The 19,388-nt window shown below is 40.7% G+C and overlaps 1 protein-coding gene across 5 annotated transcripts in view; it reads left to right on the plus strand.

Annotated features, from left to right (window-relative positions):
* CACHD1 (cache domain containing 1) overlaps positions 1 to 19,388 on the plus strand; it is a 222,925-nt gene that overhangs the window by 145,018 nt on the left and 58,519 nt on the right. For 4 of the 5 annotated variants that reach the window (NM_020925.4, XM_047426234.1, XM_047426235.1 and 1 more), the window contains 3 exons: positions 14,209 to 14,335; positions 17,453 to 17,597; positions 18,898 to 19,114. In NM_020925.4, the coding sequence (NP_065976.3) occupies positions 14,209 to 14,335; positions 17,453 to 17,597; positions 18,898 to 19,114 (489 nt within the window). The remainder of the gene's footprint in view (positions 1 to 14,208; positions 14,336 to 17,452; positions 17,598 to 18,897; positions 19,115 to 19,388) is intronic. The other variant, NM_001293274.2, reaches the window with a different exon arrangement.

Below are 19,388 nucleotides of genomic sequence, written 5' to 3' on the forward strand. Positions count from 1 at the left end.
CCGCCTCTGACATGTAAAACATTGCTTATTCCTAAGGATCCAGCTTCCTTGTCACCTCCCCTCACCCTTCTAGATAAGAATTTCTTGTTTGTTGTAACAGGTTGGCTTTCTGAGTAAGCAGACTCTGAGATGGACCTTGGCAGCCTATGAAGAAAGGGAGGAAAGGAGAATTGAGAATGGGAGAGAGCAGGGCTTCTACACAGTGTCAGCAAAGGCCTCTGCCAACCCCAGGACTGCTTGGAAGCTGGGGTGGCCTTCCAGGGTTGTGTTGGCTCAGCTATGACTCTTTATGACTTTACTGTATGGCACATTCTTACTGCAGATTTTTGATTTTTTAAGTGAGATGCCTACTTGACCTTGTGCTTATTTTTATTTATTTATTGTATGCCAAGTGCCCAATCCAGTGCCTTGCCCATAGCACGTATACAGTAAATTCTTATTGAAAGAAAGAATGAAAGTCACTAGGATTTTTGTTGTGCTTTTGTTTCCTCTTCTGTATAATGGAATAACCAAGACTTTTGAAGGACTTCGGTGAAAAAAGGATTGTGATTGTGATTTGCTATTAGTTGGCAGTGGTTTCCTTAGCTAAGCAGCAAATCAACACACATAAATGTCCCATGATGTGGAGTGACACAGACTATACAAATGAATAATGTATTCCAGAGTCACATGAAACCATCTATGATGAGCCCAGACACACAATATATCCAAAACAATCAGTCCGTTCCTTCTTAGTACCTCATAAACCATTTTATACTTTCATTTTATTCTTACCATAGATACCAAGGGCAGTTATAAGCTTCATTTTACAGATGAGAAGTTCTGATCTACCTAAAGTCAATGAGCAATTGTTGGTATTGACGTGGCTTAACATTATGTGTCCTGACTCCTAGTCAATGGCCTCCCTGAGATAGATTGCTTAAGATGAAGAGATGTATTTCCATCACTGTATTCTGCCTACTGACACTTGAAACTCTTTGTATCTAAAACCATACCTATAAATAGTCTCTCTACCCACCCAGACTTCCTCCTTGGCCCATGTTCTGTATGTCAATTAACAGCAGCTTCATTTTACTAGTTACCTAATCTTGAGACCCAGAATAAGTTCTGACTCCTTCCTGGCTCTCCCTCGTGAAGAGCTTCTCTCAAGTGACAAGCATGTGGTGGTTACCGTGCCAGACACCAAGATAATGAAGTGTATTGGTGAGAGGGGAGAGGAGGAGAAAAATCAACAGACAAGTTCAATTATGATAACATGCTAAGTGCTGTGATGATAAAGGTGAACCCTGGGCACTTGACCCAGGTTGTGAGCTCTGAGCTGGGTCTTTTAAAAATGGTAAGAATTACCCAGGTGATGTGCTTGTGGCAAGCATGCATTTTGGAATCTATAAAATATGCATGCAGAATGGATCATTGTTTAAGAGGTAGTTGAGTATCAGAAAATAAGAGTAATGCTAAGCCAGATTTTAATGGATCATTTATATCAGTCTGAGGTGTTTTGTTTGGGTTTGTCTGGTTGTGTTTTATGTGTTTTTTACCCTGAAGCCAACCAACTGAGAGATTTTAAGCAGGGGAGGCAAAAGAGCTTTATGGAAAATGGAAGGAAGTGTAGTTAGCCTGGAAGAAGGAGTACCTGGGACCAGACCATTAAGGTCATCTAAGAGTGAAAGGAAGCCAGTGGAAAGGGGCCATGGCATAAACAAAATGGCTAGATGCAGGTTGAGTGGGATGGCAAGAAGTAGAGAATCGGTGTAGACCACCCTTCTTAGTTGCATAGCTGAGACAAGGGGAAAGATTACTGATAACTTAGGATATAGGAATGTTTTTCATCATTATTGCTTTTTTTTTTTAAGTTAGAGAAACTTAAAAATGTTTACATGCCAAAGACAGAGAAAGAAGTGAAGCAAACGGATGGGAAAATGGAGATTAATGTCTCAGGTTAGTTGCCCCAAACCAAACTGAACATCAGAGTCACCTGGGATGCTTTGTGAAAAAAAAACAAAACAAAACAAAACAAAAAAAAAAACCAGCAAAACTATTGTTCAGCCGCCATGCAGACCTAGTGAATCAGAATGTTGGCTTGGTAATCTGTGGGTTCTAAAAACTGTGATGATCATCTAGGCTTGAGAACTAAATTTTTGTTAATTTTCTGTTATTTCTTTTATAAATGCTTGAAGATCACCTTGACCTTTGGGTCCTCTGGGAATGGTCTACTAGATAGGAAGAAGAGAGAGTGGTGGAGCCCAGAAGTTTATCCCAGAAGTTTATTCTAGATTCCCTGAACCCATGACCAGGCTGTCTCAAATGAATCAAGGACAGAATGGACTGGTTATTTTTGCATTATATAATCAACCTAAAATGGACACAAAGAGCTATGAGCTCAGAACACAATCAGGGGTTTGAGGATGCCTGCTCCTTAGTCTTAGACTAAAATAATAACAAGGAGATAGGAAAGGATTATTGAATTGCCCCAAGGAACAGGCTTGGTCAACTGTCATTAGTTTAACTTTTGCAATGGGCCTTAACTGGCATGATCAATGTGGTGGCAGATCACTGAGCAACATGGCCTATGTCCCATTCAGGTCACAGGGTTTAAGTCACTCCCTCCTTTCTGAAGCAGAATATCCTCAGCTTAGAAAGTGGTAATAATGGCTGGGTGCAGTGGCTCATGCCTGTAATCCCAATACTTTGGGAGACCAAGGTGGGTGGATCTCCTGAGATCAGAAGTTCAAGACCAGCCTGGCTAACATGGTGAAACCCCATTTCTACTAAAAATACAAAAAATTAGCCGGGTGTGGTGGCATGTGCCTGTAATCCCAGCTACTCTGGAGGCTGAGGCAAGAGAATCACTTGAATGCAGGAGGCAGAGGTTGCAGTGAGTCAAGATCATGCCATTGCGCTCCAGCTTGGGCAACAAGAGTGAAACTCAGTCTCAAAAAAAAAAAAAAGTAACCTGTCTATGCCTTGGTTTCCTGAATAATAAATAAAACCTACCTCATAGATTAAAAAAAATAGCAATAACAGTGGATAATAAAACTTACCTCAAAACAAATAGCAATAACAATGAAAGGCATTCCTGTATCCTAAGTTATCAGTAATCTTTCCCCTTGTCTCAGCTACACAACTAAGAAGAGTGGTCTACACCGATTCTCTACTTCTTGCCATCCCACTCAACCTGCATCTAGTCATTTTGTTTATGCCATGGCCCCTTTCCACAATAGTGTGGTCCCAGGTACTCCTTCTTCCAGGCTAACTACACTTCCTTCCATTTTCCATAAAGCTCTTTTGCCTCCCCTGCTTAAAATCTCTCATAGGGTTGTTGTAGTAATTAACTGACGTAATGTAGATAAAAGCCTTACCTGGTACATGGTCAAGTGTTCAATATGCTTACCACCCCTGGAGCAGCATAAAGAGTATCCAGTGATCCCTGAAATATATGGCCCCTGCAGAATAGTATATGGCAAAACAATACTCAAGATGTAAGTGGGAAGTGGGAATTGGGAAGGTGGGACACAGTATGATGCCAGAAATTTTGTTTGGAATCCTCAGAATGTTAATTTATTTTCTTCTCCTCCAAAATGTTTGCTGTTGTACAGAACATTACTGAGAGGTGCTAAGTCAGTTTTGTTCTGTTGAGGAAGTATGTGTGTTTTCGTTTGTCTGTGTCTCTGTGTATTTAGGATAGCTCTTGTATTTTCTATTTGGCAAGCGCGGGAGGTGGACAGCTTGGTGTGTTTTTCTGAGTGGTGTTGGGCTGGTCATCAGGAAGCCCAGATTTCCTTGAGGTGGGAGGCAATAAGCTTTCCATTACAAACATGTTCTGTGTGTCCCTACCTCTGGTGGACAATATTGTTGAGAAAAACAGAAGTCGCAACCCAACAAAAATCCATCTTTTTCCCATAGATGAGGTGGTTTAAGAATTAAAGAGGGCAGGCAAGGAGTTTGGGGGACATGGTTGGTTTTGTTTTGACTGCAGAGGCTGATGACATAAGAACCAGTTAGATGTAGATGGTGAAATTGGAAGGACAACGTCTGGGGGTCAGAGAATCTGGGGCCCATCTGTTAGAATTATTCATGGAGAGTTTAGTATACTATATGCTGGAGGGTCTTGAGACTCAACAAATGGGAAGTGAGAATGCCTGAAATGGAGAAGGCATATTTTTTCAGCTGCGTATCTGACAACAGTTTGTGTGCTGTGGCTGAAGAAAAATAAGCCAATGGTTATTACAAAATTGTGGGGGTTTGCTTAGAATTAGCATAGTAACTCTAAGAAGTAGTCAGTTTGTTGAAGTCCTTACACGGAGGGTGATGGAGGAAATAGAGCTTGTCAGAAGAACTGTTTCCTTGCATTTTATGATATTACTTTGTCAGTATTTTATAGTATGGAGATCAAATAGAACCTGTATTGCAGAGCCTTACATACTGGGATGCTCTGGGCAAAAGCATCTTGGAATGGTGGTAGGCACTGGAGGTCGGATCTAAGAGCACCTCTCTCTCAGGTACCCTCATCTGTATTCTAACTGCTGCATGCCAAGAATCTTCCCTTGGTTTAGTAGAAAGTGTTCTAGACCCAAAAGCAGAGGGCGTGATCCCCGCACTGTGCCTTACACGTAGTCAGGACTCAATAAATATTTGATAAGGCAAGAAGGAGGGGGAAAAAGCAAGATGACTTACTAGATCCATTGATCAGAATTTGCCTCCTCTAGTTATAATAACTGTATGGACATAGATAAGTTGCTTCACTTGTCTCAGCTTCAGTTTTCTGCTTTGTAAAATGACAGTAATTATATTGACTTTATAAAATGAATTGTTAAGAGATTTCAAAAATATATAAGCAAAATATCTAGAATGATACCTGGTCTCTTATTGTTATTTTTATCTAAATCTCATCTCCCTCTTTACTTATTATCTGCTTGGCACCCTGGGAATTTTTCGTTGGTAAAGGTTTAGAGAAGGAGAAGTGGGCTGGCAGCACCATATCTTATCAGTTTTTTCATCCAGGCATCATAGGCCTTCAATGTTTTAATTTTTTAAAGCAGTTTGGATTTTTCTGAGCTGCTGTGAACTTTTGTTAATATAAAATAGAGACCATATTGACTTTGGAAACAGTGAATATCTATATATCTTCCCTCCCTACCTACATGTAGCTGTTTAGAAATGTGACTTAATAGTGATCACCACAGAGACTATCCTTACAGTGAAACATCCTTTGTAAGCAGATTTCTAATTCATATGAATATTAATATCAACAGGAGTGCATTGTCCCTTAGAGACAGACCTCATCCCCTCCTAAGGGGTTCACAGATAGAATTAAGAGATTCATCCATTTGGATGTTAAATAAACTAGATCTTTATTTTAATTGATCTCTAATTCAATCATAAATTAATGTAACAATCCACAGTGTACTTTTCATGCCAGCGATGTTTGCCATCAAAGAAATCATGGCCATTTTCATCTCACATAACAGTTGTTGAATGTCTTGAAATATCGTGTATACTCATCATGATTTCCAAATCATGGAAGGTATGAGACCTACCATACTCTTTCTTTCTTAATGCATTAATCTTTCTCAATGCATTAATAGGAAGCACATATATTATCATAAACTTACATTTGTAATATTTTGGAAACTATTTTTATAATAGGTTTCTTTTGTAATCTTAAATGTTTTATTTGTATGCTTTACAAAGATTCTGTCTTCTCCAGACTACCAATGCATTTATGGAACAGAAACTATTAAGATCTTGTGCCTTAGAGTTGGTTGGAGGAGGAATGGCCCTAACTTACAGCCAACTAAAAAGATTCCCACTACACAGTCTTTAGTGGGACCAAATTCACCTTCCACTGGCCCACTGATAGTCTGCTGGGCTCTATCCAAATAATCTTAAATTATTAGATATCATTCCTGCTTGTAAGGGCTTTAGAGTAAAAGATTTTATGGTTGCTCTGATAATTAATACTTAAAATGGTAAATACTTGAAATGCTTGTAATGAGAATACTTGAAATGAGAAAACACTTCCTCTTGCCCTTGCTCATCAGTGGTCACAGTGAGCTACCTGTGATGGCTCTGTGTTTTTAAAAGACTGACATTAAATTTTTTCCATATGTTCGTCTAAATAACCTTTCCCTGGTACCACTGGGACATTCCATATATATGGTCTTGGGCCATTGATAGTAGTCTCATAGTGCTGACTTATATCTTCTAAGTCAGTAGGAGTGAGGATGCTCCCCTCTTCCCCTTTTTTTGTATAAACTTGATCAAAGCCAGCTGGAAGTTTGTTCTTCCTCTCTATTTGTAAATCTGTATACTTCCTTCCCCATGGAGCTTAAGGCTTCCTATGTAAGAGATACTAAACACATAGCTACATAAAGAATACACAGGACGTTACCAGTTTTTGCTATGAAGGAAAATACCAGGTACTATAAGAGAGGATAAGAATCGAGAGTGGTCAGGGGAGGATCTCTTAGAAGGTGGAATTTCAGGCAAAACCTGAAGGATTAAAAAAGAGCTTTATGAAAAGTGAAGAAAGAATTTTCCCCGGCCTAAGGATCACCTTGTACCAAGGGCACATTTGTGGAACTGAAAGAATTGGCTCTTGATGTACAGTGTACTGAGTTGAAGGGGGAAGAGGTGAGGTTGGAGAATAGGAAGGAGCCAGGTCATGCAGGGCCTTGTAGAGTTTGAATTTAATGCTAAGTGTAGTACAGTAGGGAACCTTTGAAAGGTTTTAAGCAAAGCAACAGGGGATTTGATTTACATTTTAGAAAGAAGCCTTTGGATGCTATATATTGAGTAAATTTAAGGTCAGACAGCTTGCCAGTCTTAAGAGATGGGACTTGAACCTGTGGCTTTTCATTCCCAGTCCATTCTGATTTACCAGGGTCTTTTTTCTAGTTGATAAGTACCAATCCGAATTAAATAGAAAATGCAAAATAGCACCAGGCCTTTTCCAAGTGGCTTCCTTATACTTGCTCAGGTTGACAGTGAAAAATAAAAGCCACCTAAGGCTCATGTCTCTAACCTGTTGAACAACTCAAAATAATTAAGAGATCACAACTATACCATTTCTCAGTTATATAAAAACCCCATCTCTTATCTAACATATGCTATTTAGTGTTTAAGGTTTCTCAGAGTCATACATGCACTATCAGCTCTGCCTGTTAAGCAGTAGCTTGTGTCTGTGCGATTTTCCAGGTAAACCAGCCTGAACTACCCAGCTAATGTTTGCCAGCTTTAGCCGTTCAGCAGTTTGTTTTTCTTTATAAGATTAAGTGGTCAGTTTCACCTTAGGTTTTATTCCAATTATGAAATCATTTCGTTTTGTTACACCTCTGCTTAATTGTACTTATTTACATTGTATGTACAAACTAATAAATCTGTTATTTTGATTGAGAAACCCCTGCATGTTTATATATTTATTCTGCCTCTCAAGAATACTCAGTAAGTTTTTTATCTGTTGATTGCTAATTCATCTAGCATGTATTTCTTAATACGGAAGTACTATATGTAGTGTTAAAGGCAAGCACACCTAAATCAATCAAATCATGCTGTGCTCTTGCCACCTTGAGCATGTTAGTTCTGCATCTATAAAATAGGAATAAAATAACAAACCCATAAGGTAATTGTGAAAAGTAGTACACCATATGTGAAACTGTTTTGTATGATGCTCAATACATTTTCACTGTTTTATTAAAACAGTTTTATTGAAGTATAATTGACATCCAATAAACTTCACATGTTTAACATGTGCAGTTAGTAGATTTGGACATGTATAGACCCATGAAATCACACAAGCAGACTTTTTATCTCTCCATTTATCTATTTCTATGCTGGTTGCATTGGCAAACTTTCTTAATCAAGGCAGTGGTGTTCGGAGAAGGGAGTGTCTAGGTTTTAAGACATATTTAAAATTATCATTGCTTCTATATTGATGTCACAATATTTAATTTTTTAAATTAAATTTGGCAGTAGGTTGGGTTTGGTGGCTCATGCCTGTAATCCCAACACTTTGGGAGGCCGAGGTGGGCAGATCACCTGAGGTCAGGAGTTCAAGACCAGCCTGGCCAACATGGTGAAACCCCGTCTCTACTACTAATAAAAAAATGAGCTGGGCATGGTGACGGGTACCTATAATCCCAGCTACTCTGAAGGCTGAGGTGGGAGAATCGCTTGAACCTGGGAGGCAGAGGTTGCAGTGAGCCAAGATCATGCCACTGCACTCCAGCCTGAGCAACAGAGTGAGATTCTGCCTCAAAAAAAAAAAATGGCATTAGAAGAAAATAAGATTTTAGAACTTAACACACAAACATACAGATCATCCCAGCCTGTGGCCTGTGTGCTACAGATACCAATCCTGCAGCTCTCAGAGAATGTGTGCCTCAATGTGAAAAGAACTAGGAATCTCTGCTTTAGGATACAGAGATGAATCAGGTATAGATCTTGCCCTCGAGGATCTTAGAATCTAGGGATGGAGGAGCTGGAACGTACCTATAACACCGATAATGCGGAGTGGAAGGTAGGAAGAGGTAAAACACCGGAGGAGGATTTAAGAGGGTGCAGTAACTTCTAGCTTGGGGATGCACTTCACTGAGGAAAAAACCATTTATTGCCTCCTGCACATGTGTCTGTCTGAGGTAGGTGTAGGTGTATAGAGCAATTCAGACAGATACAGACCCTGCCCATTAATCACTTAAATCCTAATGCTGTGCATCACCGCTTAATGGGTTGGGCATCTGCCCAGCTTTTTTCCTGGACCACTTCCAACATTTCTGAGGAAAGAGTGAGTGTGAAGGACCCTGTGGCTAGACACCAGCCCAAGTTATCCGGTGGCTAGACACCTAACTGACTCATAGGAATGGGGGAAGCCCCCTCTGGGTTGCCTGTGTGGATAATAAGGCTCTCATTCACCTCCACATCTAGGTCAGAGAGGGGCCGCCTGGGATGCACAGCACATTGATAGATTACTTCTGGGCCCACGGGGCCTCATTACCATCATATCCATCATCTTCTGCTAGTACCAAATAATGGATGTAATTTAATCAGATGCCAAAGGAGTCCTCAGCAGGAGAATTGGAGAAACCTTGCCTGAAACTGTGCTATAGTGTTGGAATGATTATAATGAACCAGAATGATCTTTTGTGGTGAGACTAAATGTATCATGCACTATATGAGTTCTGATTTATTTTTAAAACATTCTTGCTCCCATTGGCTCCCCTTTTAATAGTTTCTGTAGCCTGTTTATTGTTACAGATGTTACTTTTAAATGAGGTCATTGAGCTTTCCTTTACTTCCAAAGGCAATGTTTGCCTTTTTATTAAGGGGTTGGCAGGGCTGTCTGGAGAACAGTGCTAATGTGAGATCAAGGTTAAAGCTTCAGACCCCAGGAGACTAGGTGGAGAAAAAGCCTCTTCCATGTTTACACACACTCATGTCAGCCAGATGTCTCACAAAGGGCAAGTTTCCTGGCAGAGAGGCGAGAAGACAGGCATTGTGGTCACAGACTGCCTTGACTCTCATGGCCCCTTCTTGCCCACTGTGAAACCTCAGGCATGTCAAAAACAAGCTCCCTGAGCCTGTTTCCTCAGCTGTCACTTGGAGATAATAATTTTTATTCCTAGGACTTTTGTGAGGATAAAACGTGTTATAGCCCCTTGGTATGCATGAGGGACCTGGGGAGGGCAAGGGATGTAATAGCTAAAAGTCTAAGGCTTTGGAAATGCTTTAAGTCCTATGTGTAGTATATTTTGCATATCTTTGTTAGAGGACCGCTGACCAAATCTAGCTTGCCAGTGATTTTTGTAAATAAACTTGTATTGGCACACAGCCCATTCATTCATTTACAAATGTCTATGTCTGCCCTCTCAAAGACAGATTTGGGTCATTATGACAAAGACCTTATGGTCTGCAAAGCCAGAAATATTTACTATCTGGCCCATTACAGAAGTTGGTCGATCACTGTACCAGACTGAAGGAAAGTTTCTATACAGAGATCTGGTCATTTAAAGCAGTGAGGGATAGGGGATGAGTGGGAATTCTAAAGTGTTCCTGCAGAAAGTCAAATACTGAATGTTGTCACTTATAAGTGGGAGCTAAATAATGTGTGCATTTGGACAGAAAGAGTGGAATGATAGACACTGGGGACTTGGAAAGGTGAGAGGGTGGGAGGCGGAGTGAGGGATGAGAAATTACCTAGTGGGGATGGGCGTGGTGGTTCACACCTGTAATCCCAGCACTTTGGGAGGCCAAGGCAGGCGGATCACTTGAAGTCGGGAGTTCAAGACCAGCCTCTCCAACATGGTGAAACCCCATCTCTACTAAAAATACAAAAATTAGCTGGGCATGTTGGCAGATGCCTGTAATCCCAGCTACTTGGGCGGCTGAGGCAGGAGAATCACTTGAACTCAGGAGGCAGAGGTTGCAGTGAGCCGAGATTGCACCACTGCACTCCAGCCTGGGTGATAGAGTGAGACTCAGTCTCAGAAAAAAAAAAAAAGAAAAAGAAATTACCTAATGGGTATAATGTACGCTATTCATGTGATGATTACCCTAAAAGCTCAGACTTCATCACTACACAATATATCCACATAACAAAACTGCATTTGTACCCCCTACATCTATAAAAATAAAAAAAAATTTTTTAAAGTGTTCCTAAATGTCTATGGATTTTGCTCTATTCTGATTTAAACACCTGAAACCTTAGTGCATGTTAAAAGACTGGTTTGTTGAGGTGAGAATTAAATGCTATATGTGGGAGCATTAGCACAAAGCTGTCACATGCAGATGCCAGGTAGATGTTTGCTAAGTCGAGATGTTTGCTAGAGTCGAGTCTCCATTATGTTTCATCAGTCCCCACATAGGCATAACCCTGTTTGGCTCTGGGCATAAGTTTCTGGGAGTGGGCAGGTTGACAGAGGCATCACCATGGGGCACTTTTATGGAATAGTCACATGTTGTTCCAGTATTTTCTTCTATGTAAGTTATTGTTAACAATTAGCCTAAAATGAGGTTTATTGACCAATGTCTTTATCTTTGCCTCATGCTTTGAAATTGTTCCAGTGACAGGCGGAGCCAGCACTAAAGTCATACCTGAGTATGTACATGCTAGAAATAAAGACGAAACTGGCATTTTAACGCCAACCACAAATTTTAATGGCTGTCACATGTGTTAATTTTTGGAAAGCAATCAAAATATTTGCCATAGATCAAAAAGATAGTCCTCAGATAACATATTGCTACTGGCAGAAAGACCTCTGCAAAGTAAATGAAACATTAAAAATGGTGATCCTCACTCGGATGGAAAACGGGAAAGGAGTTGAATATATTGTCACTCCGCACTCTACATCATATGTAGATGGCAACAGCAAATGCTATGCACTTATGTACACTGTCCTTTAATAAGTCATTGAGAGGAACTTGGCCTCTGGCTTCCTGTCTTGCTAATTGAGCACTCTCTGTAGTTACCCTGCTGTAAAGCTCTCACTCCCCTCCTCTTGCACATTGGTCATCTTGGGAGGTGGGTATGTTTTCAAGGTACATACCCAAATGGCAAAAGTCCACCATACTTTGTAGAAGGCGCCTAGCATAATGCCTAGAGGGTCACAGGCATTCACTCAGCACTTGTTCCCAACACCATCTCAATGACAACAGGTAGATCTTTGCTATCTTTGGATTTCCATAGCCCTTCTCTGTACCTCACGCAAGCTCTTAATCAGATACTGTGATAATTAATTGAAAGTTTAGTGTGTATTTCCAATCTCCCTCAATTAGTCTTTCTCTTGTAGGTAAGGATTTAGTATTTTTTTTTTCTCCTTACCTCCATTCCAAAAAGCCATTCCCTGCCTGTGGTAGGCCAAGAACAAATCATGAAAAGTTGATCAAAGCCAAGCAGACATCAGAATAATAGTGGATATAAATACAGTGAACTAGAGACAGCAGAGACTGGAAGCAAGGCCTGTCTGTCTCAGATAAAATCTCAGGGCTGGGCATGGTGGCTTATGCCTGTAATCCTAGTACTTTGAGAGGCCAAGGCAGAAGGATCACTTGAGGCCACGAATTTGAGGCCAGCCTGGGCAACACAGTGACACCCTGTCTCTACAAAAATAAAAAAAATTAGCTGAGTGTGGCGGTGCCCACCTATAGTCTTAGCTACACAGGAGACTGAGGCAGGAGGATCACTTGAGCCCAGGAGATCAAGGCTGCAGTGAGCTGTGATTACACCACTGCATTCCCACCTGGGCGACAGAGTGAGACCCTGTCTCAAAAAAATTTTTTAAATAAAAAAATAGAATAGGAATTCAGTCCTGCTAATATAACAAACCTTCAGAACAGGACAGTCACTGTTCTGAGTGCCAAGGAGACAGAGTAGACCATCGTCTTACCTTCTTGGAGTTCATGATGCTCTAGAGGAGAAGAGGCGGGCACATGACTGTTGCACCTGAGTTCACAGGGAACCATCACCCCCACAATATCCTGCAAATCTTTGCAGCTCCCATTTCATAATGTAATTCCTGATGCTACATATGGTATAAAAACATAATACCGTAATTAGTCCACCCACTTTTATTTGAGGCCGAGGGATTTAGTGAGAAACACAGAGTCAGAAGAGCTATGTTCAAGACATGATCTTACCACCTACTAGCTGTGGATATTCATTTGTGTAGGAACTATTTACACTCACTGTGCATGCATTTTTCTAGGCTATACGGGGGACAAGGCCAACCAAGTTCTTCATTGCATGGACCTTAAAATGTAACTGGGGGTGGGGAGGGAGAAGAGAAGAATTAACTGGTATTAAACAAATGATATTTCAGATGGTGATAGATGCTATGAAGAAAATAAAATGTGTCAGTGTTATAAAGGGCCATTTAATTTCTTTGAGCTTCAGTTTCTTCAATGCAATCTGAAGATAAGAACACATATCATGTATTATTTTGTGCAACTTAAATATCCTGTGTGAAAGCTCTTTGTCTACAGTAGAGGTGAAGATCCATCATCATTGTTAGAGTCATATCTCAGCCCTTATAGTCATATAAACAGATCCTTATTTGATCACATGGGTGTTTAAAGCTTAATGTATTTTCTGGTCAAATACACCTCATGCATTCCTTCCTTTTTACCTTAGCTCGGAATCTTCCCCCCACTGAATTTCTTTTTGTTCCATTTCCATCTGTATAAGTCTGCTTGTATATCAATTATTACAATAGGGCTTGTTTTGTGCTCGTCTTTGTATATCTTGCCAAATGTAAAGCAGTGACCAGCACATAGTAAGTGTGTAATAAATAGCTGAGTCAGAATGGAGCAGAACAAAAGATCCTAAGAGCTCAGAAAAGAGGAAATTCTGATTGCGGGAGAGGGTAAGAAAGACTTCATGGAGGTCGTGGGACAGGATTGCACACAACAAGGTGGTTGGCACTTGGGCTGAGGGAATGGCAGACGCAGGTCAGTGGTAGGGATGCTGTGTAGATGAAGGGAGGCAGTATAGCATGATGTAAGGAACACAGGAGTCAGGGCAGCCAGGTTTGAATCCCAGCTTGGCCATTTACTGATGAGGTCTTTGATAAATCACTTAAGCATATTTTCTCGACTCCAAAGTAGTGATAACAATACCACCCACATCTTGGGGTTGCTTTATGGATGACATGAGATAACATAAGGAAGCCTATATTCCAGCACTGGCACAGAGGAATCATTCCATAAGTAACAGCTTTACTGAATGATTATGGCCTGTCTTTTTAAGTACCATGTATGCTGTTTCCTTCATTGCAAAGTAAAGGCAAGGTTAAGGTCACAGGTCTAGTCCCTCTGGTGATGAGGCCTATTAACATCAGCCTATTAACATCACTGTTTTCTACAGTTACAGACTGTACCCCAAGCCAACTAGTGTGTGCTAGCCCAACAGGGACCAGCTCAGTGCAGGGAGAGATTAATGCAAATGAATCATTTGTACTGGAAAAACAATCCAAGACATATAATGTCATGGTACAATATTAAGAGTAATAACTTCACTTAGCTGAAACATTGTATTTTCTGTTCTTGGGGTGTTTTTTAAGGGGCAGAAAGCAAATGTTTCATAGAAAATTTACAATCTTGTATCTAGTGGGATTTCTTCATACTAGAAGCAGTTTATGCAAAACAGATGCCTGAGGAGCAGTGCCTGCATGCACCTGTGGATTTGGTGGTTATATTTCATTTTCCTTACACCTCTAGTTCTTGCAGACAACCTGAAATCCAACCCTGGAATTAAGTGGCAATATTTCAGTTCAGAAGAAGGAATTTTCACTGTTTTCCCAGCACACAAGTTCCGGTGTAAGGGCAGCTACGAACACCGCAGTAGGTATGTTGACTTGCATGCTAAAGTTTTTAATTATTGCTTAAGAGTGATCTACATGAAATATAAAACTTCTCATTTCTACTCATGGCTATGCCTTTAAGCTGTGGATTCAGAAATTTGTACTTGTTCTGAAATGAATTCACCATTTAGTATATGTGGATGTGAAATTCCAGGCAAGGGCAAATTACAAAACCCAGAGCTTTCCTATAGCTATCTAATATGCCAAATATAAAAAGGTACTTACTCGTGAAGTCAAATTGTGTGAAGCACCTAGAGTGTTTTGAGTTTCAGAATTCTTTGTTGAAATGTAAATGATGGTACCTTATCTATAGTGCAGCCCTTGAACATAACTTTATAACATATCTCAGAGTAGTTTGTTATACTCAACTTCCCTTTCTATGATGACATGCTTGGCCATACTGCATGAAATTTACATGCAGATTTTAACTATTAGAAGTTTTGAGGTGAGCAGAAAGCATTGGATTAAAAATTACTAACATCCTGCTTTTCTCTCACAGACATGACTTGAGATTCTACCATGTAGCCAGAAGGGCAATAATGGTGAGATACTTTGTATGACAAGACTCATTAATTATAGAACCCCCCCGAAGCAAATATACTTTCCTATTTAATCCTGACAGTTTCCTGTTTGCAGTGTTAGATGTTTGATGCCAAAACATCTGGAGCTCTAGTGCAGGGCACCCACTTTTCACACCATTTTCTGGAGTCTACACAATTACTTTAGCTTCCCTTCATCTTCACTTTAAATTTTATCTAGAATTTTTCCCCAAGGAAAATACTTCATCTGTGCTTTTCCTAAGATTTTTTTTTTTTTTTTCCTGAGATGGAGTTTTGCTCTTGTTGCCCAGGCTGGAGTGCAATGGCACGATCTCAGCTCTGCAAACTCTGCCTCCCGGGTTCAAGCGATTCTCCTGCCTCAGCCTGCCGAGTACCTGGGATTACAGGCACCCACCACCATGCCTGGCTAATTTTTGTATTTTTAGTAGAGACGAAGTTTTGCCATGTTGGCCAGGCTAGTCTCGAACTCCTGACCTCAGGCCTCCCAAAGTGCTGGGATTACAGGCATGAGCCACCGTGCCCAGTCGTCCTAAGATATTTTTATTGTGTGTGTGGTTTCTTCCTTTCCCTCCCCACACATTCTGGTGAAGACTTGGGTGTCTTGGAGACTGGACCAGAAGCCATGATCATGGCTTCTCACGAGAACAAAGGCCACCATGAACCATCTAATTCTCATTTGCTTCTAAGAAGAGATGGGCTAGATGGCATGCTGATTTTAACGAAGCACCTGTGAAGAAAAGTTTAAAAAGGAAAGTGAAACCTTGTCAAAATCAGCATTCACCTACACAAGGCAATTCGGAAAGTTTTCATGTATCTCCACCCTAAATCTGCACTAATTAGCCCTTGAACCTCTTTTCCCTTGGCTAAATGATCCACATTTCTCTCTGATAGACTGCGATTCACATTTCTTGTCCTAACTGCTTTCCTATGATGCCTTTCCAAGTTCTCTACATTCTTTGGAAGTATGGAATGGATTTCAGGACATAGCAACACAAGAAAGGAAGTGGTAGATACCAGTCATTCTATGAGGACTGCCCCCCAGTTTGTACATTTAACATCACTATTTATATATCCCACTAAAGCAGCGTTTAACAACTTAATGTGACAATGCCAACACATATCCCAAGTTTCATTTATGTGAATTGAATTTTAACAAAGGAAGTGTGTCATTTTAAAGAAAATCCACCCATCTAGCTTGGAGAATCTAAAAAGTTAAATATTTGACCTACTTGTCAGTGTTGAGATGATCAAATTTTCCTTCTTTTCTGTACTCTGTTTCATTTCTGTAGCCACCTCTCCTGGATTCTTTTTATTGCATTTCCCTAGTGGCTCAATGGTATCGACTCATGAAAATATAGTGGTACTTTAGTAATTACTGCAGGACTTTGGGCTTGAGAACAACTAGTGTAAATTTGGCCAGATTTTGAGTTTTTTTGGTACTTTGCCTGCGTTTCTTAATTTGTGCCCAGGCTTTTGTGATTCAGCTGGCATCTAACATTTCACAGGAAAATCTAGTGTTTTAAGGATGTCAGTAAAGGAGAGAATTCTCTTGAGGCTGATTTGCTTTCTTAAACTCCTTCTAATTTGTTCCAGCTTTAAAACTGTGAATAGAGACCTCATTAAACCTCTTCTCACAAACCTTCCTGCACTGCACATTAGCAAAAGGCTGCTTTGATGGGAGGCATTTCTCCTTTGTGGCTGCCCCCAACCCCCTTTTTTTCAATGTTGGCAAACAAAAACCTGGCAAGAAGAGTGGCTATCACAGACTTGGACAAATTTTGATGGCACAGTTTTAAATGCTCAGATAAGGGGCCTTTTGGTGGCTGACCTATGTGAATTGTTTCAGTCCAGAAAGGAAAGGGGCCTCTTAGCAGGAGCCTTTGTATGAGAAGAGAGAAACCAAACCTGCCATTCAAAGCTGCTCAGCATGCTCACGGGTTATAGGCTGCCTCACTTCTAACCAAGCCCCACTCTGCAAGTCTGCAGAGGAGAATCCAACCCTGGTGATGGGACCTTTTTCTCCTTGGCTGGTCTCTCAGCCCAAGGGACCACTACATCCACATCCTTTAGCAAAACAGGTACACTGGGCAATACCAAGCAGAGGTTGTGCATATTTTATATGAGGATTTTAACTACTAGAAGTTTTAAGCTGTGCAGAAAGCATTGGGTTAAAGAACACTAACATCCTGCTTTTTTCTGAAAAAAAAAAAAAAAAAAAAAAGAGAGAAAAGCAGGATGTTAGTGATGCTGAAAAAGCCAACCTCTGAAAGGGTTTGCTCCTGAAAAACTTCTCTTGTCTGCTTTGATCTTTAAAGGCATAAATTACCCATCCCTGTTCTACAGACACACCTTGTTGTCTTAAGTATTATTTTCAATGCACCAATATGGTTTCTCCTTCCATGTGGATTTCTCCATCCTTGTGCCATCCCTGGGAGAACACAGAGACCAACATGCCCATGCACTGTAGTGTTCACAGCTGTGTTAAGTTGAGGCCCTTTACCTAAACCAAGACTGACCCCAGAGAGCTTCTTCTCCCTCCAGACCCATCTACGTCTCTACAGTCCGGCCGCAGTCAAAGCACATAGTAGTGATTCTGGACCACGGGGCTTCAGTCACAGACACTCAGCTTCAGATTGCCAAGGACGCTGCTCAGGTCATCCTCAGCGCCATCGATGAACATGACAAGGTGACCATGACCCTTGTGACCCCTATGGCATCAGGTTCTCCTTGAATGCCTTTTTTAAAGTACTTTATTGTTTTGTGATATACAGATCCTCCTTGACTTACAATGGGGTTACATCCTGATAAATCCATCATAAGTTGAAAATGCATTTAATACACCTGAGCTACATCACAGCTTGGGCTAGCCTACCTTAAACAGTCGGAACACCTAGGTTAGCCCTCAGTTATGGAAAATCATCTAACACAAAGCCTATTTTATAACATAATAAAGTGTTGGCTATCTCGTAGAATTTATTGAATACAGTACACTGCAGAATACTATATCAGCGGTTCTCCTTTATGATTGCATGGCTGACTGGGAGCTGCGGCTCGCTGCCATTGTCCAGCACCATGAGAAAGTATCAGGAGCCTGGGAAAAGATCCAAAATTGAAAGTACAGCTTCACTGCCTGCCTATCGCTTTCTCACCATCATAAAGTCAAACCATTGTATGTCAGGGACCATCTGTATATTTTTTTAAATCCATCTTTAAAAGGACTTTGGGAAAAGAAAAGACTTTGGGAAAAGAGTATTATTCTAATATTTGAGGAAGCAGCCACAAATCCAAAAATCCCTTTCGTAACTACCACCAAGCTTAGTCTTATACTTCTTTATGGCTCATGGTAAGGTTTCTAATTAGCCATGACTTTCACACTGGAGGTTACGCTGAGGAGGAGAGGGGTGGGAGATTTGGATGCTGATGGATGGCTGAACTTTATTGCAAGATTGTTGGGAAGTCAGGAAGAAGGGAAAGCCGCTAGTGGCTGACTAATCTCTGGGACACCTCAGAGAGAGGTGTGGGTACAGCTAATGATAATCTATTGCCTGTGGACATTTTCTGCTTCATCATTTTGACTTTGCCAACTCCAGAGGTTTTGCTCACTAACCTAGTGGCTTAAAACACACACACCTCACTCTCTTACCCTCACCCCTCACCTCCAGGTTGAAAAACAGGATAGTTCATTCTTGCTATGACTTTTCTCTGCATAAAATAGTTTGTGTGTGTGTTTAATGTTATGTATGAACATAATACTACCACTTCATGTTGGAACAAAAACCAAACTCTAGGGGTTTCCCCACTTTACCAATCCTTATGGATCCTTTTCAAATTTGATAGATGGATGGCTCCAGGGATTTATTTTGAAACTCTCAGAATCTGTTCTGTAGGCCTTCTTACTCCTTGGCCTCTTCTGTTACATAAATAAATAAATCTTTAGACGGTAGGATAACAAGTTTGGTGGTTTTTTTTTTTTTTCTTTCCTGCAGATTTCTGTGTTAACTGTGGCAGATACCGTCCGGACTTGCTCACTAGACCAGTGCTATAAGACCTTCTTGTCTCCAGCCACCAGTGAGACAAAAAGGAAAATGTCCACCTTTGTTAGCAGCGTGAAGTCTTCAGACAGTCCTACCCAGCACGCAGTGGGATTCCAAAAGGCATTTCAGCTGATTCGAAGTACAAACAATAACACAAAGTTCCAAGCAAGTGAGTGCGTTCTCTCAGAGGACTTAGAGGCATAGTAGATAAAGATGGCAATAGGAATATATTGTAAATTGATCACACAATGATGTTTAGAGAGATTTTATTTATTTATTTATGTATGTATTTATTTATTTATTTATTTACCTTGAGACAGAGTCTTGCTCTGTCCAAGCTGGAATGCAGTGGTGTGATCATGGCTCACTCCAGCCTTGACTTCCTGGGCTCCAGCAATCTTTCTACTTCAGCCTCCCAAGTAGTTGGGACCACAGGCTTATGC

Source organism: Homo sapiens, chromosome 1 (genome assembly GCF_000001405.40).
Source record: "Homo sapiens chromosome 1, GRCh38.p14 Primary Assembly".
Taxonomy (NCBI): domain Eukaryota; kingdom Metazoa; phylum Chordata; class Mammalia; order Primates; family Hominidae; genus Homo; species Homo sapiens.